At 39.6% G+C, this 23,952-nt stretch overlaps 1 protein-coding gene across 6 annotated transcripts in view; it reads left to right on the top strand.

Annotated features, from left to right (window-relative positions):
- SUN3 (Sad1 and UNC84 domain containing 3) overlaps positions 1 to 23,952 on the top strand; it is a 48,755-nt gene that overhangs the window by 13,019 nt on the left and 11,784 nt on the right. For 5 of the 6 annotated variants that reach the window (XM_017011930.2, NM_152782.4, NM_001030019.2 and 2 more), the window contains 4 exons: positions 5,519 to 5,622; positions 13,809 to 13,849; positions 15,557 to 15,719; positions 16,831 to 16,915. In XM_017011930.2, coding sequence (XP_016867419.1) covers positions 5,519 to 5,622; positions 13,809 to 13,849; positions 15,557 to 15,719; positions 16,831 to 16,915 — 393 coding nt within the window. Of the gene's footprint in view, positions 1 to 4,287; positions 4,386 to 5,518; positions 5,623 to 13,808; positions 13,850 to 15,556; positions 15,720 to 16,830; positions 16,916 to 23,952 lie in introns of all 6 variants that reach the window. The other variant, NM_001284350.2, reaches the window with a different exon arrangement.

The following is a 23,952-nucleotide window of genomic DNA, read 5'->3' as shown; positions in this document are numbered from 1 at the left end:
TCAACGCTTTAAATATGTCATCCCACTGTCTTCTGGCCTCTATAGTTTCTGAAGAAAAAAATCAGGTGATAATCCAACAAAGACTTTCTTCTATATAACAAGGCATTGCTCTCTTTCTGCTTTCAAGATTATCTCTGTGTTTTTGTCTTTCAACAGTTTGATTATAATAGGTTTCAGCATGAGTCTTTTTAAGTTTGTCTTACTTGAAGTTTGTTGAGTTTCTTGGATGTGTAGATTCATGGCTTTTTATCAACTTTGGAACTTTTTCAGCCATTATTTCTTCAAATGTTCTTTTTCTTATTTAAAATTTAAAATTTTTTAATTTTTTGTGGGTACATAGTATATATACTTATGGGGTACCTGAGATGTTTTGATACAGGCATGCAATGTGAAATAATCATATCATGAAGGATGGGGTATCCATCCCCTCAAGCATTTATCCTTTGTGTTGCAAACAATCCAAATACAATCTTTTAGTTATTTTAAAATGTACAATTAAGTAATTTTTTACTGTAGTCACCCATTGTGTTGTCAAATAGTACGTCTTATTTATTCTTTCTATTTTTTGTACCTATTAACCATCCTCACCTCCTCCATCTTCGACACTACCCTCACCTGCTTCTGGTAATCATCATTTTACTCTCTATGTTCATTAGTTTAATTCTTTTAATTTTTAGCTCCCACAAATAATTGAGAACATGTGATATTTGTCTTTCTATGAATGGCTTATTTCACTGAACATAATGATCTCCAATTCCATCCATGTTGTTGCAAATGACATTATCTCATTCTTTTTTATGGCCGCATAGTACACCATTGTGAATATGTACATTTTCTTTATCCATTTATCTGCTGATGGACACTTAGGTTGCTTCCAAATCTTAGCTATTGTGAACAATGCTGCAACAAATGGGAGCGCAGATATCTCTTTGATATACTGATGTCCTTTATCTTGGGTATATGCCCAACAGTAGGACTGCTGGATCATATATCAGCTGTGTTTATCATTTTTTGAAGATTCTCCAAACTATCCTGCAGAGTGGTTGTACTAATTTACATTCCCACCAACAGTGTATGAGAGTTCTCCTCTCTCCACATCCTCTCCAGCATTTGTTATTGCCTATCTTTTGGGTATAAGCCATTTTAACTTAGGTGAGATAACATATCATTGTAGTGTTGATTTTCATTTCTCTGACAATCAATGAAACTGGCACCTTTTCATATGCCTGTTTGCCATTTGTGTGTCTTCTTTTGAGAGATGTTTATTTGAATCTTTGGCCCATTTTTTTATCAGATTATTTAGGTTTGTTTTTTTTTTTTTTCTCTGTAGAGTTGTTTGAGCTCCTTATATATTCTTCTTATTAATCCCTTGTCAGATGGGTAGTTTGTAAATATTTTCTCCCATTCTGTGGGTTGTCTCTTCACTTTGTTGATTGTATCCTTTGCTGTCAGAAGCTTTTTAGCTGTGATCCCATTTGTCCATTTTTACTTTTGTTGCCTGTGCTTGTGGGGTGCTGCTCAAGAAATTTTTGCCCAGACCAATGACCTGGAGATTGTCCCCCAATGTTTTCTTATAGTTGTTTCATAGTCTAAAGTCTTAGATTTAAGCCTTTAATCCATTTTGATTTGATTTTTGTATATGGCAGGAGATAGGGGTCTAGTTTCATTCTTCTGCATATGAATATCTAGTTTTCCCAGCACCATTTATTGAAGAGACTATGATTTCCCCAGCGTATGTTCTTGGCACATTTGTTGAAAATGAGTTCTCTGTAGGGGTTCTCTATTCTGTTTCATCAGCCTATCTCTCACTTTTTATGCCAGTACCCTGCTGTTTTGGTTACTAAGCTCTGTAGTATAATTTGAAGTCAGGTAATGTGATTCCTCCAATTTTCTTCTTTTTGCTTAGAATAGCTTTGACTATTTGGGGTCTTTTGTGGTTCCATATAAATTTTAGGGTTGTTTTTTTCTATTTCTGTGAAGAATGTCATTGGTATTTTGATAGGGATTGCATTGAATATGTAGATTGCTTTGGGTAGTATGGACATTTAGCAATATTGATCTTCTAATTCATGAACATGAGCTATCTACTTTTTGTTTCTCCTTCAATTTCTTTCATCAATGTTTTATAGTTTTCGTTGTAGAGATCTTTCACTTCTTTGGTTAATTCCTAGGTATTTGATTTTGTTTGTGGCTATTGTAAATGAGATTACTTTATTAATTTTTCAGATTGTTCACTGTTTGTATATAGAAATGCTACTGATTTTTGTACATTGACTTTGTATCCTGCAACACTGCTGAATTTATCAGTTCTAATAGTTTTTTTCCTAATATAAAATCATATTATCAGCAAGCAAGGATAATTTAACTTCTTTCATTGCAGTTTGGATGCCTTTTATTTCTTTCTCTTGTCTGGTTGCTCTAGCTAGGACTTCCAGTACTATGTTGAATAGCAGTGGTGAAAGTGAGCAACCTTGTCGTGTTCCAGGTCTTTGAGGAAAGGCTTTCAGTTTGTTCCCATTCAGTGTGATACCAGCTGTGGATCTGTCTGTCATTCATGGCTTTTATTACGTTGAGGTATGTTCCTTCTATACCCAGTTTTTTTTAGGGTTTTTATCATGGAGAGATGTTGAATTTTATCCAAATGCCTTTTCAGCATCAGTTGAAAACCATTACATGGTTTTTATCTTTCATTCTATTGATATGGTGTATCACATTGATTGATTTGCATATGTTGAACCATCCTTGCATCCCAGGGATAAATCCCACTCAGTCATGATGAATGATCTTTCTAATGTATCATGGAATTCAGTTTGCTGGTATTTTGTTAAGGGCTTTTGCATCAATATTCATTAGAGATATTGGCCTGTAGTTTTCTTTCTTTCTTTTTTTTTTTTTTTTTTTTTTTTGATGTGTCTTTGTCTGGTTTTCATATCAAGGTAATACTGGCCTTGTAGAATGAGTTTAGAAGTATTCCCTCCTCCTCTCTTTTTCAGAATAGTTTGCATAAGGTTGGTATTAGCTCTTCTTTAAATGTGTGATAGAATTCAGCAGTGAAGCCATGGGGTCCCGGGCTGTTCTTTACTGGGAGATTTTTTATTATGGCTTCGATCTCATTACTTTTTATTGGTCTGTTCAGGTTTTGAATTTCTTTCTGGTTCAGTCTTGGTAGGTTGTATGTGTCTAGTAATTTGTCCATTTCTTCTAGATTTTCCAATTTATTGGCATACAGTTGTTCATAGTAGCTAGTAATGATCCTTTAAATTTGTGCAGTACCAGTTTTGATGTCTTCTTTATTATTTCTAATTTCATTTGTATCTTCTCTTTTTTGTTAATCTGGCTAAAGGTTTGTCAGTTTCATTTAATTTTTCTAAAAACCTTTGTTCCATTGATCTTTTGTATTGTTTACTTCATTTCCATTTTATTTATTTCTTCTCTGATCTTTATTATTTCTTTTCTTCTACTCATTTTGGGGTTGGTTTGCTCTTGCTTTTCTATTTCTTTAAGGTACATCATTACATCATTTATAGGATGTTTTTCCTCTTTTTCAATATAGGCACTTACAACTATAATCTTCCCTCTTAGTACTGCTTTTGCTGTATCCCATAGGTTTTATTTATTTCTTCATTTCTTTCTGCCCCTTTCTCTCTCTCTCCTCTTTCTGAGACTGCCACAATGCATATGTTGATCCACTTCATGGTGTCTGATGGGTGTCTTGGGCTCTGTTCACTTTTTCACTTTTCTCTTTCTGTTCACAGACTCAATAATTTCATAGCTCTATCTTTAAGTTAACTGATTCTTTCATCTGCCTGCTTAAATCAACTGTTGAGCCCTTCTAGTAAGTTCTTCATTTTAGTTATTCCTCTTTCAGCTTCAGAGTTTATATTTGGTTTCTTTCATAATTTATTTTAATCAATATTCTCATTTTATCCATACATAATCTTCCTGGTTTCCTGTAGTTCTTTGTCCATGGTTTCCTTTAGTTTTTGAACATATGTAGAACAGCTGATATAAAGTTTTTGTCTCGTAATTCCAATGTCAGATTCCTCAGGGATGGTTTCTGCCATTTTCTCTTTTTGAATGTGCCATACTTTCCTGTTTCATCGTATGCCATGTGATTTTGCAAATTGAGCATTTTAATATTATAATGTAATAACTCTAGAATTCAGATTTCCCTCTTCCCCAGGGTTTGCCTGCTGTTGCATGTTGAGGGCTGCAATCACTTGTTTGTTTAGTAACATTTTCAAACTTTTTTTTTTTTTTTGGGATGGAATCTCACTCTGTCGCCAGGCTGGAGTGCAGTGGTGCGATCTTGGCTCACTGCAACCTCCACCTCCTGGGTTCAAGCATTTCTCCTGCCTCAGCCTCCCGAGTAGCTGGGACCACAGGTGAGCACCACCACGCCCAGCTAATTTTTGTACTTTTAGTAGAGACGGGGTTTCACCATGTTGGCCAGAATGGTCTCGATCTCTTGACCTTGTGATCCACCCACCTCGGCCTCCCAAAACTATTTTGGAAGACTGTATTTCTTGTCGTATATGTTTGCTATTCCACTATCTCAGTGGTTAGCCACTGATTTCTCACATATTTCCTTGAATTCCTGGATCCAGAGAGAGAGTGAGAGAGAGACAGAAACAGAGACAGAGACAGAGATTACTCTCTCAGTCTTTGCAGCTTGGCTCTAAGCTGGGACACTCCTTCAAGACTAAGCCAGGCCACCTAAAACTCTGCCTTAGTCTTCATCTCCTGCTTATACACAATCTACAGATCCACCAGAGGTGCAACCCAGTATCTTCTTGGGGTCATTTATGAACATGCGTCCAGTCCTAGAAATGCACATTACGTTCTCTGCTTCCTAGTATATGATGCAGCAGTCCTTCTGAGCCCTTTTTCCAGAAAGAGACTGCCTCTTTATTCATGGGCTGTTGGGTCTGTCTGCCACTTCCATCATCTACTGTCCTTTGTCCCAGTTGGGCTTCGGCAGTATGTCTTTGAAGTCTTTCAATAGATATTGCCACTTCCTAGAAAGCTATAGGCGTGGAATAAACACAGGTCAGCTTCTGTGCCAGCCCCTCAGGGAACCACTAGATGAGTCAAAAAACATTACCATGGTATTTTAAGAACAAAGTCTATATTAAAGGAATGTGAAATGCTGTCCCTATAGCTGCCACCACCAGGTTGAGAAATGGAAGATGGTAGTCAGGTAAAGAAAAATGCCACATGCTCTGTTTCTAGAAACTAGCCACCCTATCCTTAGTTATCTGGCTGCTGTAGGTTTTGGATTAGATTCCAGAGTTCCAAAAAAAATTGATTCTGTCAATCTTTACTAGCTATATTGTTTACATGGAGGCCTGATTTTTTGTGTGTACTATTCCACCATTTTCCATGATGTCACCCAAGGATCTGATATTCTTAAGAGTATACATATTCTTCATGTTTAGGGAAATTCTTATGAATACATGTAAAATATTTTATGTTTCCAGAGAAACTCTTTAATCAAAGTTTGTCTTTTCTTTAACAGGACTCCTAAATCATCAGTGGCTTAAAGAAACAGATGTTCCTCAGAAATCCAGACAATTATATGCCATAATTGCAGAATATGGTTCAAGGCTTTATAAATATCAGGTGATATTTTGTTAAGTAATTTTGTATATCACTCATTTAAAGTTTAATATGCTACAAGGCTAGTTCAACTTTCAATATGTTATCTTTGTTTTATATGAGAATATCTAATAAAATTAATGTAGGAAATGGAATTCTATTAAGTGGTTTCTGTGGTTTGAATGTGACCACCAAACCTCATGCTGAAATTTAATTGCCATTGTAACAGTGTTCAGAGGTAAGACCTTTAAAAAGTGATTGGGTCATAAGAGCTCTGAATTAATGCCATTATCATTGGAGTGGGATAGTCACCTGAAGAGTGGGCTCCTAATAAAAGGATGAGTTTGGCCCCATTTCTCTCTCTGTCTCACATGTTCCTGTGCCCTTTCACCCTTCTGCCATGGTAGAACCCTCATCACATGGCAGTGCCATGCTCTCAGATTTCCAAGCATCCAGAACTGTGAGCCAAACAAACTTCTGTTGTTTATAAATTACCCAGGCTGTGGTATTCTGTTATAGCAACAGAAAACAGACTAAGACAATAGTTTTATAGCTATGAGGTCCTAAAAATTCTCCACACTTCCCCAAGAGAATCTCAAGCACAAATAAAATGGCAAATAAACCTTTATCACCAACTTCTGCCTGACACTGCCTGACACTGGACAGGAGTATGGCACTTCCCTTTGTCCTGAAGCTAGTTAGATCTAGGTGGGCTTAGACTGAGGCTAGTCACTGAATGTCCTCTTTCTGATCCACCCCACCCCCAGCATTCCAGAATAAGCCTTGTCCATTCTATGCTCAGAAACTCAGAAGATTGGAGGGAGGAGGGTGGCAGTGTAACCATCCAAAGGGTTCACCTTGCCCATTGCCTTGACAGAGCCAATTTATCAAGACAGGGGAATTGCAACGGAGAAAGAATAATTCACGCAGAGCCGGATGTGTGGGATACTGGAGTTTTATTATTACTCAAATTAGTGTCCCTGAGCATTTGAGGATCAGAGTTTTTAAAGATAGTTTGGCAGGTAGGGGCTTGGGAAGTGGGGAGTGCTGATTGGTCAGGTTGGAGATGGAATCGTAGAGAGTCAAAGTGAGGTTTTCTTGCTGTCTTCTGTTCCTGGGTGGGCTGGCAGAACTGGTTGAGTCAGATTACTGGCCTGGGTGGTATCAGCTGATCCATCTAGTGCAGGGTCTGCAAAACATCTCAAGCACTGATCTTAGGTCTTACAATAGTGATGTTATCCCCAGGAACAATTTGGGGAGGTTCAGACTCTTGGAGCCAGGGTCTGCGTGACCCCTAAACTGTAATTTCTAATCTTGTAGCTAATTTGTTAGTCCTAAAAAGGCAGATTGGTCCCCAAGCAAGAAGGGGGTCTTTTCAGGAAAGGACTGTTATCAATTTTGTTTCAGAGTCAAACCATGAACTGAATTCCTTCCCAAAGTTAGTTTGGCCTACTCCCAGGAATGAACAAGGACAGCTTAAAAGTTAGAAGCATGATGGAGTCGGATAGGTCTTGTCTCTTTCACCGTCATACTTCCCTTAGTTTTCATTTTTGCAAAGGTGGTTTCAGCAGGAGCTATGACCAGGTTACTGCTGCTCTGGGGGAAGATGGACAGACATATTGGCCTGTCTCCACCAGTATGCTGATCTTTTAACCCATAGTGACTTCAGTGACCCAGTCAGTGGCCTTAGGCCTGACTGATCAGATTCCTACTTCATACCCTTTTTGCTCAGGGCCTCTGAAATCTTCTACTTCCTAGTTCCTCCAGTAACTGCCTCATTCCAATGTGTCTTGCCATGTGAAGTCCCAAAAGAGAGGGGAGACTGCACATGTATGATGCCCACAGCATTCCAGTCCAGTGAGGAAGCCTCCCTGGAGGTTCATAGGTTGATGCCCAGGATAACTCCCATCTCAGAGGCGCTACTCAGTCTGCATATGCTGAGAATCTGTGAGACCCCAGTCTTAGACAAAAGCACAGCTACCTGGAAACCCCACAGAGAGGGTCAGCCTCAGATAGCTCCTACTCCACGAGGTTCTCACATCAAAGACTAAGACCAAGCCCATGGGAGCTGAAGCTGGATAGTTAGGTCATAACCAGAAAAGCAGAGATGAGCACGCAGAGTGGTCATGGTGGCTCCAACTATTGCCAATTTGTGCCTAAGCTTCGTTGTGATGGTTAATTTTGTGTGTCACTTTGGCTAGGCCATGGCGCCCAGATGTTTGGTCAAGCACCAGTCTAGATATTGCAGTGAAGGTATTTTTTAGATGTGATTAACATCTAAATCTATAGACTAAATACAGAAGACTACCCTCTACAATGTGGGTTGGTCTCACAGGCATTTTAAAGTCTTAAGAATAAAGAATGAGATTCCCCAAGAAAGAAGAAATTTTGTCTCCAAATAGCCTTCAGACTCGAGCTGTAACATCAACCCTTCCCTGGTTCTCCAGCCTGCCAGCCTGCCCTGAAAACTTCAGACTTAGCCCCTGCAATCATTTAAGCCAATTCCTCAAAATAAATCTCTCTCTATATATACATTGGCTTGGTTCCATTTCTCTAGAGAACCCTGACTAATACACTTGTAAGTTTATCTGGCAGGTTCTGTTAGTGCCTGAATATTGGGTGCCCCTTTGCCCACAGTCTTCTGCTGCAGATCTTTGCAGGATTGGTTTCTTTCTGAAATTCCAGCTAGTCCAAATGTCTCCTCATTAGACAGGCTTCTGTGACCACACAAACCACCTGTGACAATATCCAGGTGTAGGTGCATCCTAGTTTTTACCCCTGCTTTATTTTAGACACTCATCGATTTCTTTACCAGCTCTCTTCTTGCCTTCTTCCCTTTTAACTAAAATGTAATGATCAAGGAGCTTGTCTAGAGCCTAGAAGAGTCCCCAGGTAAATGGAGGCTTAATAAATATGCACATTAATGAATAAATAAATAAGTTATCTGAGACTAATCACATTTTTAAAAGGCATCCTTCCCTTCTACCTTCCGATTTTAGACTAACCAGCATACTCAACAGCAAATTCAACCCTTTAAAAATGTCTAGCCAGCCCAACACGGTGGCTCATTCCTGTAATCCCAGCACTTTGGGCAGGTGAAGTGGGCAGATCGCTTGGCTCCAGGAGTTCAAGACCAGCCTGAACATCAAAAAATTAGCCAGACATGGTGGAATATGCCTGTAGTACCAGCTACTCTGGAGGCTGAGGTGGCAGGATCACTTGAGCCTGGGAGGTTGAGGCTGCAGTCAGCTGTGCTTGTGCCACTGCACTCCAGCCTGAGTGATAAAGCAAGACTCTGTCTCAAAATATAAAATAAAATGACTATGGCCGTGTTTCTAAGGACAGTATTTTTCATGAGGTTGAGGTTGACCTATGATCATTTAATTTTTGACCAGTGTTAACCTGGTTTTCACACAGACAAGAGCACTGTCAGAAACCACTGGAGACTGATTTTAACTTATTTCTACGTGAGTTCTTTATAAATCCCAAGCTACATGAAGTAGTTGCTGTTTCTCAATCTCCTGAGCTCAAGCGATTACAGGCATGAAACGCTGCACTCAGCCAGTAATAGATTTTAAATATGCTCCCTTGCCTTTAGATATTATTTTATAATGACATGTAATGGATGATAAAATATTCCAATGAATAATATTTTCAATGAATACTTATTTCTAAACAATTGGATTGTCTCTAATTTTTTAAATATTATAAACACAAACATCCTATGGCTTAATCAATTTGCCTCTCCTTGATTACTTAGGATAAACTCTTAAAAGAAAAATAAGTAAAGAATATTTATAATTTTTAGGTGACCTTGTTGTCATATTGAATCCCAATGATTTGATATTACTTTTCAAAAAGCTGGATATATCGCCTCATATTCCACCATGGAGAACAGGATAATGGTAATAGTTATGCATCAGAAGAGATCCTAAGAACACTAAATATATATTACACTTTATCCTCGAAATGACTTTTCAGTAAGAGTATTACTAAATCCATTTATAGATTAGGAAGCTGGATCAGCACAATGGATCAGCACAATGAAGGAAGGCAGCCTGTGGTCACACCACTGCATATTCCAGAGCTGAAATGATCCTCCCTGAGGATCCAGATTTTGTTGAGACTGGGCCTGCCATTCAGACTAAGACTTTGCTCACTGCTACACTGAGAACAAAATTTTATTGTCACATGCCACTTTCAAATCACCAGCACAGTCTTAATCCATTTATGCTGCTATAACAAAATGCCATAGACTAGGTAGCTTATAAAGAACAGAAATGTCTTTCTCACAGTTCTGGAGGCTGTGAAGTCCAAGATCAAGGCATGTGCATTCTATGTTTAATGAGAGCTTTCTTGTGTCTTCACGTGGTAGGAGGTCAAAGGGCGAAAAGGGCCTAAACTACTTCCTTCGAGCTTTTTATTAAAAGCACTAATCCTATTCACGTGGGTGGTACCTTCATGACTTAATCACTCCCCAAAAGACCCTACCTCTTAACACCACCACAATGGGGATTAAGTTTCAACATAAATTTTGGAAGAAACATAGATATTCAAGCCACAGTGATCACAGTTGTGAGTTCAAGACCAATGACTTCAAATTACTTACTCCAATATTTAATTGGTTTCTATCTTAAAGCTATATTAAGCAGCAAGCTTAGTTATTTACCCAGGGCACAGTCTGCAATCACTATAGTTTGTAGGATTCACCTTGAAGTTATATGGTTTAAAGTTAGATATCTTATGGGACCTCATTGAGAAAAAAAATTTTAATGACCATGTCAGAAATGTGTTAACACATCATTGAATTTATCTTGGTTCAAATTACTAGAGCCATGTTCCAAGGCATAAAGCTTTGGGTCTCAGTCAACATTATCTGAAGAAAAAAAAAAAAAAACTAAACAAAAAACAAGTAAAACTGGGCTTTGCCCATGGCTATTTCTTTGCCAGCCTCTACCTGACGCCTTCGTGTCTCAGGAGGCTGTAAATTGACAGCACATGCAGACAAACCCTACCTTAATCCATGGTTAGGATGAGGCACAGGGACTTTGTTGCTGAAAACAATATCCCTGGAGGCTGTGTCCTCTTAACGAGTGCTCTGGACATTTTCACATCTGATGAGGCTTTCCCTGACATAGGCTTTGTCATGAGGCCAACAGCCTACAGGGAGGGATGTTTTAGGAAGGTTCCTAGGACACTGAACCCCCATCTCATTGCCAGAAATGTTTCAGAAAGATAATCAACTATACACAAAGCAGCCTTTATAACACTTTTGATTTTCTTTTTCCACATTGTGGATGTGGTAAATTTTGGCCATTGGCCTGCCCCCTCTCCCACCCATTTGGTTGCTGTGATGCTCTGAAACAAATTTATAGCCCACAGCTAATAACTTTCAAGAATTTCAGGCACGAGTAGGTTCCAACTTCATCCTTCTCGCATTATCTTACTTTTCCAATCTTTATTTTATCTTCACTTTCACTTCCTTACTTACTGTTTTGTCCTACATGTTCTTATACTATACAAGTTCCTATAGTAGAACTTGCCTGAAATGCTTTTGGGAATGAAGCAAAATAAAAATGTTTTTAAAATTGTGAAATATTTTATTTTTCATGGAACTCTCAAGTTCATTTATCAGCAAATTAATTGAGGAGTATTTTCTGTATGTTATTTTAAGGCTAGAACAGAAAAAAGAAACAAATTGAAAACACTGCTCCTACTGACAGGGAAGTTGCTCAAACAGAATGTGAAAAACTAGAAGTGAGAATCTCTATCTACCAATGATAAGCTCCCAAATTCACATCCTTGTCAAAATAAAAATGTTGAGGAGAACGTATAAGAAGTGTAATTGTTCAGAACAAAAGCAAGGCAATATTTTTCTATGTGCCACACTACATTCCATTCTGACATCATTATCACACATGACAGAATAACATCGCACAAGACACAACACATTTATAGTATAGCACTATTTTGGGCAGAGCTAACTGATAAAAAGCCAGTCTTTGTAACAGAAAAGCAAGCTAATTACTGGGTAAAGATGGAGCACTATTTCCCAGATAGCACATTGATGGTCACTGTAGGAGGTTGAAAGGTGATTCCCAAAAAGATATGTCTACCTCCTGACCCCAAGAAACTGTGAATGTGACCTTTATTTGGGAAAAAGGTATTTGCAGATGTAATTAAGTTTCTTGAGATCAAATCGTCCTAGATTACTCAGATGGGTCCTAAATACAATGACAGGGATCTCTTTAGGAGACTTACAGAGGAGAGAGACACAGAGAGGAGAAGAAGAGACCACGTAAAGGCAGAGGCAGAGACTGGAGTGATGCAGCCACAAGCCTAGGAATGCCCAGAGCCACCAGAAGTTAGAAAAGGCAAGAAACAGAATCTCCCTGAGGACCTTCAGAGGAGTGTAAACATGTGGACACGTTGACCTTACACTTTTGACCTCCAGAACAGCGACAGAATAAATTTCCATTGTTTCAAACCACCCCGTTTGTGGTCATGTGTGTCAAGAGCCCCAGGAAACTCATAGGGTCCCTTTGAGTTCTCTGTTGGGTGCCTGAAGTGTGAGCTTTGTTGCTACAAGAAAGTGATCCTTAAAGGCAGAGGTGTCTGCTTCCCAACCTGGCAGGGAGAGTATGTGGATGAGACAAATTTCTGGAGACTGCTGCGGGAATCCTCCAAGATTTAAGTTTAAACCCAAGGGAATTGATTGCTTGGGTCGGCCTTCGTTTTCACACTTGATCATTCCTCCACTCTGATCTACATTATTTTCTTGGCACATAGTCAAAGATACTGCCTCTTAATTGATAAACCACTTGAGTAAAACATGTCAGGGTAGGGGAGTTCCAGATGTAAAGAAAGGATGTCAGGAGCCATCCCTCGATGGGCATTGTTGACTATTTTTCCTGGAATCCTCTGGGGAAGAGATCACCCTTTCACACTTGTCCTCCCCTTCTTACCAGCTTGTCCACTCAGTTGTTGGCTTCTGAGCCCTTCAAGATTGGTGCCCCAAGGTGCTCTCTTTTGCCCTCCTTTCTCTGTTGGTAATATTATTGACCTTCTCCAACCATCCCATGTTGGAATAGGGGCTGTGCATGTGTGCATATGTGAGTATGCATGTGTGCCTATGAGCATGTGCATACGTGTGTATAAGCATGTGTATGTGGAGTGTGTGTGTTTGTGTGTGTGTGTCTCATGCTGGGTAAAGACAGACGGGAAGAGAGTGCAGGGCTTTGGAGGCTCCCAGGCTAATGACTTGTAGGGCATTTGAAATGTGAGCACCCAACCACCGTCATCTGTGGCAGGGCCCGGAAGACACACAGCAGGATGAGCTAAGGGACATAGAGGTGCTGGCCACCCAGACCCAAGTTCTTCTCAGTGACAGGAGGATGCAGCTAGGCCATTCCCCCATTCCAGGTGAGGAACAGGCAGCACAGTAGCCCGGTACTGCAGACCAGAGTGCTGCCTGCACTCCAGCATGCTCTATCTTCCCAGTGTTTATGTTTTCACTGACCACCTCCATAGCAGAAAGTCCTCTGAAGCCACATGTTGTGTCCAAACAGTAACTTTACCTTTTCCTGGTTTCTTGTCTTGGTTTGGGCACCACCAAGACCGTCCATACCAGAGACTATCTATACCAGACATGACACCAGTGTTAGATAAATTTCTGCAATTTTCTGATTGTGATTGCCAATCTAGCCCAAAAGTAATCACATCCCTTTCTTATTTGTAAGTGGGAGTCCCCCTCCTTATTCAGGGACAAGCCCAAAGAGCTCAGCATGGTCCTCTAACGTCGCCATGTGCTCCTTAGGTTTTTCCACATCCACCAGGGGCGCCTCTCCCGCTTGTCTTCCCTTCCCTCTCTTCCTCTTCCCTCTATTTTTTCCTCTTCCAACCTCCCTCTCAGACTGTGTTCAGGCCTTTACAGTCTTAAGAAATAGGAAATGATGTGCCCATCCAAGAGCTCCTGTTGAATGTCACTCATTAAATAGATTTGCATTACCTCATCTCCTTCAAATACATTCATGATGTACAGGTGAGGCTAGGAAAGAGGCGGGCCTCTCAGAGGACGCTCCTGAGTTCCAGCCAGCACATCTGTATATCAGGAGTCAATGTGCTATTTATTTCCCTTTTCTGAGAAAAAAAAAAGACTCTATTTGAATAAGCAGAATTCAGAATGATTTATCTTTTTCTGTTGTTTTCAGGCCAGACTTCGTATGCCTAAAGAGCAACTGGAACTTTTAAAGTGAGTGCGATCTTTTGCTATATGCCTCTTTTTGGTGTGGTTTCAAATACTGAAATGTTTTCGTACAGAAAAGTATAAGAAAGAAAAGTTACTCCCTGAAATAACTCAAAATTTCACTCCCAGAAATAACTATTATTAATATTTAATGATATCATTCCTAGCATTTCTCTATGTATATATGCAGATGGAAAGAAAGGAGGAAGAAAAAGAAAAAAAGGAGATAGAAAAGATTAAAGGGTTAGAGGTGACTTAATCTACCCATGCTGTATTTAGTATTAAAAATAGTACATTTATTGTTACTTGGATTTATCAAAAGAAGGAAACAACAAAATAAAAATTGCCTCCTCTCACTTGTGCATATACATAATTTAAAATTTTAAACACCAAACAGTAACATTTGTAGTACTTTAGAAAATTACTTGTCCTTTTACATATTTCTACTTCTATGGAGCATTCCTTGACAAAATACACACTGAGGTGTGCTTTCCATGTCATTTATGATAACTAAAAATGGAAAATAACCCTATAAGAAAATTAGGCCAATGGTTAAATACATTGGAATATATTCATGAAATGAAGAATTATAAAGCCATTTAAATAATTTTAAAATAGTTTTTAATGATTTGGAAGTGTAGTGGAGACACAAAATTATAAATATTATTTCTATTTTCTTACCAATTTTTTGCATGGAATAAAAACTGGTAGAAAGTCATTAAAATTTAACAGTGTTTATTTCTTCTAAATGCTTGGTTTTTTCCCGAATTCAAACATGTATTGATTTACAAATGGGGAAAAATACCAGATAAGTAGTGCTTATACTTTTTCAGCATAAAGAAATACCTATTCGCTTGACATTTTCTTTTTCTCTCTACTAGTAATTTTCAAACTGTAAACATAGAAAACCCATTCTTGGCCGGGCGTGGTGGCTCACGCCTGTAATCCCAGCACTTTGGGTGGCCGAGGCGGGTGGATCACTTGAGGTCAGGAGTTTGAGACCAGTCTGGTCAACATGGTGAAACCTTGTCTCTACTAAAAATACAAAAATTAGCCGAGCGCGGTGGCATGTGCCTGTTATCCTAGCTGCTGGGGAGGCTGAGGCAAGAGAATCACTTGAACCCGGGAGGCGGAGGTTGCAGTGAGCCGAGATCACGCCACTGCACTCCAGCCTGGGGGACAGAGTGAGACTCCATCTCAAAAAAAAAAAAAAAACATTCTTGGGAAGTAAAATCTTGCATGCTCAGGCTGTCAAACTGGTAACCAGTCACTGCCCACTGGCTGGATCCACCAGCACCCCTTGCCCAAGGCACTTCCACTGAACTCAGGCTACAATTCGAAAGCCACTGCTCTGTACTACACCGGAAATGCAAGGTGTTCCCAATTGGAAAGGTAACAGTGGGATTTAGGATTCACCTGTGTGACGTTACCCAGCTGGGGGACCAGCAAGATTGATTGAGCCTTGCCTGCCCCATGCAGAGCCCGGTCAAGCAGTAGGACACCCTCAGCCATGTGACCCCTGGATGTCCTTGTTTTTTTTTTAGTGAAGCGTGATGCTTTAGAGAAATGGGCATGCTCTGCTCTTCCCTCACTCAAGAATGTATATCTTCAACAATATAAAGCACCTCATCACATGGCGGGTGGAGCCCAGCAACAGCTGATAACAGGAGCTTTACACTTTCTTCCTCTCATGCTGAGATTTTCCCTTTACAGGAAGGAAAGCCAGAATCTGGAAAACAATTTTCGTCAAATTCTATTTTTGATCGAACAAATAGATGTCCTGAAGGCATTGCTAAGAGATATGAAGGATGGTATGGACAATAATCACAACTGGAACACCCATGGAGACCCTGTGGAGGACCCGGACCACACAGAGGTCCTGGATGAGGCTAGGCGGGTTGGGCAGGGTGGGGTGGTGGTTAGCGCGGATGTCCAGGGTGACGGGGAGTGAGTATGTCCTTCCGATGTCACATCTGCTTCTTCTCCCAGTGGGAAGTCCAGTGTTGACTGATATTTGGTTTGTGTACAGAAACCCAGTGTTTCATAAATGCTGTGTCACAGAGAAGACATTCTATTGCATATGACTTACTTCACACCAAAATAAATAACTGTTCTATTTTCCAGTAAAAGAAAGAAAGAAAGAAAGAAATAACAGTCTCTGAGCTCTATACACAAATACCTTAAATAGCAAAAGATTTGCATTCATCATCTTCATAGCTAATGTAGTTAGTCTAGACAGCATCAGATTCAGGCAAAACTGTGTTGGAAACCACAAGCTCTATTTTGCTTCTTTCTCTTCCGCTGTCATTACTACCTTCTTTTTCTTCCCTAATGTCTACTTTTTGAAATGCGCAGCAATCTGACATGGACCACCTGCCGCCCTCCAGACCCCATTTCATCCTTGTCACTGTGAAGGTGTTACGTTTAGGCAGCTTGAACTTGAACTGTTACGCCTGCTTAGGGTGCTTTTGGTTTTGTTTGTTTGTTCGTTTTTTAGAATGAGAGCAGCCTTCAGAATCCAATATTAATTAGACTGGGTGAAAAATGTCTAATATAAGCAATCATGTAGTCTGTGTAAACTGCCTTGATTCCCAAATAACTCTAGAATGTTCAAGTCTTTACTGCTAACCACAGGACACTAATGAGGGACAGAACACAGTAGGTCACAGCACCTCACCGGGAGAGCACTGTGATGCCAGTGGTTAGGGCTTCAGAAGAGACCCTAGGTCCACGGTGCTGTGTGACCTTGTGGGAGTCCCTGAACACACCTTGGCTTTATTTACACCGTATTCCTGAAAATGACACTCCCAAGAGCTGTGAAGGTGTCAGTCCAGATCCATGAACAGGGCCTGGCTCAGAGTGCAGCTGATAGGGGCTCACTGCTATTCTAATTTTGCAAATTAGGTCCAAATCAATAAAATGAATGGTCAAAACTCAAGCAGTTGGCAAAGATTGTTAACAGAAAACTGTTTATAAAATTTCTACAGGAAGTGTCAAACTTGGTCAATTATGTACTTAAAAAGTTGAGAGAAGACCAAGTCGAGATGGCTGATTATGCCCTGAAGTCGGCCGGTGAGTACAGAAAAAGTGAAAAGAGGAACATTAAAAAAAAAAGAATGCTTCAGGAATGTCCCTATTCTCTACATTTGTTTATGAGGAAAACATATTTATCTGGTAACTTGGGGGGGGGAAATTAATCAATTTAGATAATAAAGAAGAGAGTAGAAATAGTTGTCACTACTGATTGCTGAGTGCAAATGTTCCAGGGAAAAAAGCCTGTGCAACTTCATTAACATGCATCTAAAAGAACCACCAAGAAAGCCAAGATGCCACAGTGAAGTTGTGGAAGGCACAAAATATTAGGACATTTTGTATTATTATATACTAAAATTACTTATGATCACCAATCTAAATGCATTATTAGGGATTAAATGACAGTGTTTAAAGGTTATATATAATGTTCCTAATATCTTCCAATTAAAATTAATTATTAAGGGTTAAGGCTATGAATCATTAACCTTAATCTTATCTACCATGCCCTGCCTATAATAGTCTATGGACAATATGTGTTCAGTGAACAATGTGGGAGGAAAGAAGAAAGGGACAGAAGGAGAATGGAAATATAAAACACATAGTAATGCTAATTTTAATCAATTGATAGTCAAATTTACGCCAGGGAAATAAATTTCCAGCTTGCATGAACTGGAGAGCATTTGGAACAGCATGATTACTCAGTCTTGTGAGCATGTGTTTTTCAGAGAGTGAGTTAGAGGGCAGAACTTTCCCAAACCTGATTCCCTAAAGCATGAGTGTTGGGGACAAGATGGGAGACGAACCATAGTTGGGATTTTTTGGTTGTTTGTTTGTTTTGGTCTTGGCATTCTGATACACTTTTTTAATGCTTTCTTTTTTGTATTGATGCATTTATATCAATTGATGTATTTACAACTTCCATTTTGAAAAGCCTATGATGACGAATGTAGGTGCAAGAGTAGCACATGCAGAGTGAGGAAAAGAAGGAAATGCTCGGGCTTCTCTGTAGCCATAGATGTGGAAACAAATGTCAGCTCTGGTTTGGCCAAGATAGAGAAAGCCTGTTAAGTCTCTTCCAACTGATTACAATGAGAAAAAATCCGGACAAAATTCAAAAAGCAACTACGTGAGTGGGCTAAAAAGTAAACAAAGCAGGCAGTTGGTAGAGGGGAACCAAAAACTGCAGATGTGAGCCTTGTGGGAGTTTCCTTTTTTCTTTTCTTTTCTCTTGCAGCCTAGGCTGAGGCAGGCAGCAATTACAGAGCTGCAAACGTGGCAGCAAGGTAGGCAGCTAAATCTGTGAAAGAAGCCCAATTTTTCTAGCCAAAATCGCAGAATAAAGTAGTCCTGTGGGCCAGAGAGTGTGGGCAGAAAGCCTGGAAGGCAAAGCTGCAGAGAAGACGCCTGCTCCCCTGTCTGTTTGCGGCCAGCTTCTGGCCTCACCTCTCAGCTGCCCATTCATGGGAACAGACCCAAAACAGCAAAGTGGAGGCTTTGAGAATTTGGCAATGATGTAAACTGTGGCTCAAGTCTTGGACTAACCCCTGAGTGGTACATGGACATGACAGGCCTGTAGTAAAGGTTTTGAGGACTGAATTGAGATTGGAACCACCACTCATAAAAGGAAGGAGGACTGACATTTCTTGGTTGATTGATGAAGCAAATAAAAGCATTCCCTAGTGGACAGTAATAGGGCTCAGAGTCTTACAGTATAATATTCAGTATGTCTAGGGTACAAATCACAATTACTTGGCATGCAAACTCCTACGGAAATAAGACCAACTCCCAAGGGAAAAGACAACAGATGCCAACCCCGTCATGACACAGATGTTGGAATTGTCACACAAAGACTTGAAGCAGCTAGCATAATTATGCTTTATGAGGTGAAAGTAAGTACACTTGAAATGAATGAAAAGATACCAGTTCTCAGCCAAGAGAATAAAAAGAACCAGATGGAATTTTAGAACTGAAAAATACGATATCTAAAATAAATATTGACTATATATGCTTAATGATAGAAAAACAAAAACAGAGAAAAAAAGGAGTGAAGTCACTCATATTCAACACAGTATTAGAAGTCCTCTCCAGGGCAATCAGGCAAGAGAAATAAATAAAGGGCATCCAAATAGGAAGAGAGGAAGTCAAACTATCCCTGTTTGCAGACAACATAATCCTATATCTAGAAAACCCCATAGTCTCAGCCCGAAAGCTTCTTAAGCTGATAAACAACTTCAGCAAAGTCTCAGGATGCAAAATCAATGTGCAAAAATCACTAGCATTCTATACACCAACAAAAGTCAAGCCAAGAGCCAAATCAGTAACGAACTCCCATTCACAATTGCCACAAAAAGAATAAAATACCTACGAATACAGCTAATTTTGGAGGTGAAAGATCTCTACAAAAAGAACTATAAACCATTGCTTAAAGAAATCAGAGATGACATAAACAAATGGAAAAACATCTCATGCTCATGGATAGAAAGAATCAATATCACTAAAATGCCCATACTGCCTAAAGTAATTTATAGATCCAATGCTATTCTTATTAAACTACCATTGACCTTCTTCACAGAACTAGATAAAACTATTTTAAAATTCATATGAAACCAAAAATAGCAAGGGCAATCCTAAGCAAAAAGAACAAAGCTGGAGGCATCATGTTACCCAACTTCAAACTATACTACAGGGCTACAGTAACCAAAACAGCATGGTACTGGTACAAAAACAGGCACATAGACCAATGGAACAGAATAGAGAACCCAGAAATAAGGCCACACACTTACAACTATCTAATCTTCTACCAATCTAACAAAAACAAACATTGCAGAAAGTATTCCTATTCAATAAATGGTGCTGGAATAACTGGCTAGCCATATGCAGAAGACTGAAATTGGACCCCTTCCATATACCATATACAAAAATTAACTTGAAATGGAATATAGACTTAAATGTAAAAGCCAAAACTACAAAAAAAAAAAGAAAACCCTGGAAGACAACCTAGGTATTGCCTATGAAGTCACTCCTATTCAACACAGTATTAGAAGTTCTGGCCAGGGCAATTAGGCAAAAGAAAGAAATAAAGCGCATCCAAATAGGAAGAGAGGAAGTCAAACTATCCCTGTTTGCAGACAACATAATCCTATATTTAGAAAACCCCATAGTCTCAGCCTGAAAGTTGTATGTACCATTCAGGACATAGGCATGGGCAAAGATATCACGACAAAGACATCAAAAGCAATTGCAACAAAAGTAAGAATTGGCAAACGGGATCTAATTAAACTAAAGAGCTGCTGCACAGAAAAAGAAACTATCAATGGAGTAAACAGACAACCTACAGAATGGAAGGGAATTTTTGCAAACTCTGCAACCAACAATGGTCTAATATCCAGCATTTATAAGGAACTTACACAAATTTACAAGAAAACAAAACAACCCCATTAAAAAGTGGGCAAAGGACATGAACAGACACTTAAAAAGAAGACCCACATGTGGCCAAGAATCATTTGAAAAAAATCTCGACGTCACTGATCATTAGAGAAATGCAAATCAAGGCCGGGCGCGGTGGCTCACGCCTGTAATCCCAGCACTTTGGGAGGCCGAGGCGGGTGGATCACGAGGTCAGGAGATCGAGACCATCCTGGCTAAAACGGTGAAACCCCATCTCTACTAAAAATACAAAAAATTAGCCGGGCGTGGTGCGGGCGCCTGTGGTCCCAGCTACTCGGGAGGCTGAGGCAGGAGAATAGCGTGAACCCGGGAGGCGGAGCTTGCAGTGAGCCGAGATCGCGCCACTGCACTCCAGCCTGGGCGACAGAGCGAGACTCCGTCTCAAAAAAAAAAAAAAAAAAAAAAAAAAGAGAAATGCAAATCAAAACCACAATGAGATACCATCTCACACCATTCAGAATGGCTATTATCAAAAAGTCAAAAACTAACAGATACAGGCAAGGTTGTGGAGAAAAAGGAATGGTTATACACTGTTGGTGGCAGTGTAAATTATTTCAACCACTGTGAAAGACAGTGATTCCTCAAAGACCTAAAGACAAAAATACCATTTGAACCAGCAAACCCATTACTGGGATATCCAGAGGAATGTAAATTGTTGTGTTATAAAGATATATGCATGCATGTGTTCACTGCAGCACTATTCACAATAGAAAAGACATGGAACTGGCCAGGCACGGTGGCTCACGCCTGTAATCCCAGCACTTTGGGAGGCCGAGGCGGGCAGATCACAAGGTCAGGAGATCGAGACCATCCTGGCTAACGCGGTGAAACCCTGTCTCTACTAAAAATACAAAGAAAAATTAGCTGGGCGTGGTGGCGGGCACCTGTAGTCCCAGCTACTCAGGAGGCTGAGGCAGGAGAATGGTGTGAACCTGGGAGGCGGAGCTTGCAGTGAGCCAAGATTGCATCACTGCACTCCAGCCTGGGCAACAGAGCGAGACTCTGTCTCAAAAAAAAAAAAAAAAAAAACAAAAAAAACAGAAAAGACATGGAACCAACCTAAATGCTGATCAATGATAGACTGGATAAAGAAAATGTCATACATATACACTATGGAATACTATGCAGCCACAAAAAAGAACAAGATCATGTCCTTTGCAGGGACATGGATGGAGCTGGAGGCCATTATCCTTAGCAAACTAACACAGGAATAGAAAACCAAAAACACATGTTCTCACTTATAAGTGGGAGCTAAATGATGAGAACACATAAACACATAGAGGGGAACAACACACACTGGGGCCTATTGGAGGATGGAGGGTGAGAGAAGGGAGAGGATCAGGAAAAATAACTAATGGATACTAGGCTTAACACCTGGGTGACAAAATAATCTGTACAACAAATCCCCATGACACAAGTTTTTCTGTGTAACAAACCTGCACATGTACCCCGAACTTAAAAATTAAAAATAAAGAAGTAGTGAAGTTGAAGATAGATCAAAAGAAATTATGCAATTCAAAGAATGAAAAAATGTTTGAAAAAAATGCAAACAGAACTTCAGAAACCTATAGGACACTATAAAAAGGTATAATATTCTTATCCTTGTAGTCTCAGAGGGAGATGAAGAAGAGACCAATGTATCTAAAGACGTAATAGCTAAAAACATCTCAAACTCGATTTAAAAAAAAAAAACCATAAATTTACAGACTCAAAAAGCATGGCAAATCAGAAAGAAGATAAATTCAAGGAAAATGACATCCAGACACATCATAGTTAAATTGCTCAAAATCAAAGATGAAAATACTTGAAAGAAGCTAAAAAAAAACTACACATTATTACAGATTTCTTACCAGAAGTTAAAGAGACCAGAAGAGAAGGAAACGACATGTTTAAAGTGCTGAAGGAAAGGATCTAGCAATGCAGAATTGTAGATCCAGTGAAAATATCTTTCAGGAATGAAGGCAAAATGAAGACATTTAGATGGAGAAAAACTAAGAAAATTATCTGCCACTGAATCTGCTAAAGGAAGTTCTTCAGCTCAATAGAAATGACACCAAAAAGAAACTCGGGACTTAAAGAATGAAGAAAGAGCAACAGCCTCATCTGTGAGTAAAGATGAGGTGGCCCGGCACAGTGGCTCATGCCTTGTAATTCCAGCACTTTGGGAGGCCGAGGCGGGTGGATCACCTGAGGTCAGGAGTTCCAGACTAGCCTGGCCAACATGGTGAAATCCTGTCTCTACTAAAAATAGAAACATTAGCGGGGCGTGGTGGCGCATGCCTGTAATTCCAGCTACTCCGGAGGCTGAGGCAGGAGAATAGCTTCAACCCAGGATGCGGAGGTTGCAGTGAGCGGAGATCACGCCACTGCTCTCCAGCCTGGGTGACGAGAGCGAAACTCCATCTCAAAACAACAACAACAACAAAAGATGAGGTAATTTTCTTTCTTTAAGTACTTTAAAATATGTATGGCTGTTGAAAGGAAAAAATGTATGGCATTGTCTGGGCGTGGAGGGCTAATATATGTAGATTTAATTCTATGACAACCATAAAGGAAAAGTCAGTGGGTGAGATTTAATGGACATCTATAAATGTAAAGATTTTATATGAATGATAAAAAGTTAACTCAAATAAACTATGAGCTGCTAGGTACGTGCGTTGTAATCATGAGAACAATTACTTAAAAATACAGAGATATCCAAAAGCTAATGGAGAAATCAAAATGGAGGCCAGGCACAGTGGCTCACGCCTATAATCCTGGCACTTTGGGAGGCCAAGGCAGGCGGATCAATTGAGGTCAGGAGTTCGAGACCAGCCTGGCCAACCTGGTGAAACCCCGGCTGTACTAAAAATACAAAACAGCCAGGCGCGGTGGCGCACGCCTGTAATCCTGCTACTCAGGAGGCTGAGGCAGGAGAATCGCTTGAACCTGCAAGGCGAGGCGGAAATTGCAGTGAGCTGAGATTGCGTCATTGCACTCCAGCCTGGGCCCCAGAGCAAGACTCAGTTTCAAAAGAAATAAAAAATAAATAAAAAATTTCAACTAATATTTAAAAAAAGGCAGGAAAGGGAAATGAAGAAAAACTGGGAGAGAAAGAGAGTACGAAAGGCAGAGGATAGGGGAAAAGGCATGCAAATTAGAAAGGAAAAAAATGGCTCTATTCAGAGACAACATGATTGCTTATGTAGAAAAACCACCAAAAAAATCTACCAGAGTAAGTGAGGTTTACAAGTTCAAGGGTATATATACAATTTCTATATACTAATAATAGAAAATTAGAGACTATTTAAAAGCAGCTCTATTCATAAATGCAGTAAAAAACATAAAATACTTAGGTGTAAGACTAACAAAATGTGGGAACTGAGAGCTAAAAACTAAAAAACAATAATGAAATAAATAAAAAAGATTTAAATAAATGGACAAGTATACCATGTTTATGGATTAGAAGACTCAATACCATTAAGATGACAATACTGTCCAACTTTTCTATGGATTTAATATAATCCTAATTAAAATCCCAGCAGGATTATTTGTAGAAATTGACAACCATTTTCAAAATGTATGTGGAATGGTGAAGGAACTAGAAGAGTCAAATTTGTTTTGGGAAAAAAAGAGACAAAGTTGGAGAA

The sequence above is a fragment of the Homo sapiens genome, chromosome 7, assembly GCF_000001405.40.
Source record: "Homo sapiens chromosome 7, GRCh38.p14 Primary Assembly".
NCBI classification, from domain to species: Eukaryota; Metazoa; Chordata; class Mammalia; order Primates; family Hominidae; genus Homo; species Homo sapiens.
The sequence above is the reverse complement of the archived record's forward strand: the minus strand, read 5'-3'. Positions and strand labels throughout refer to the sequence as shown.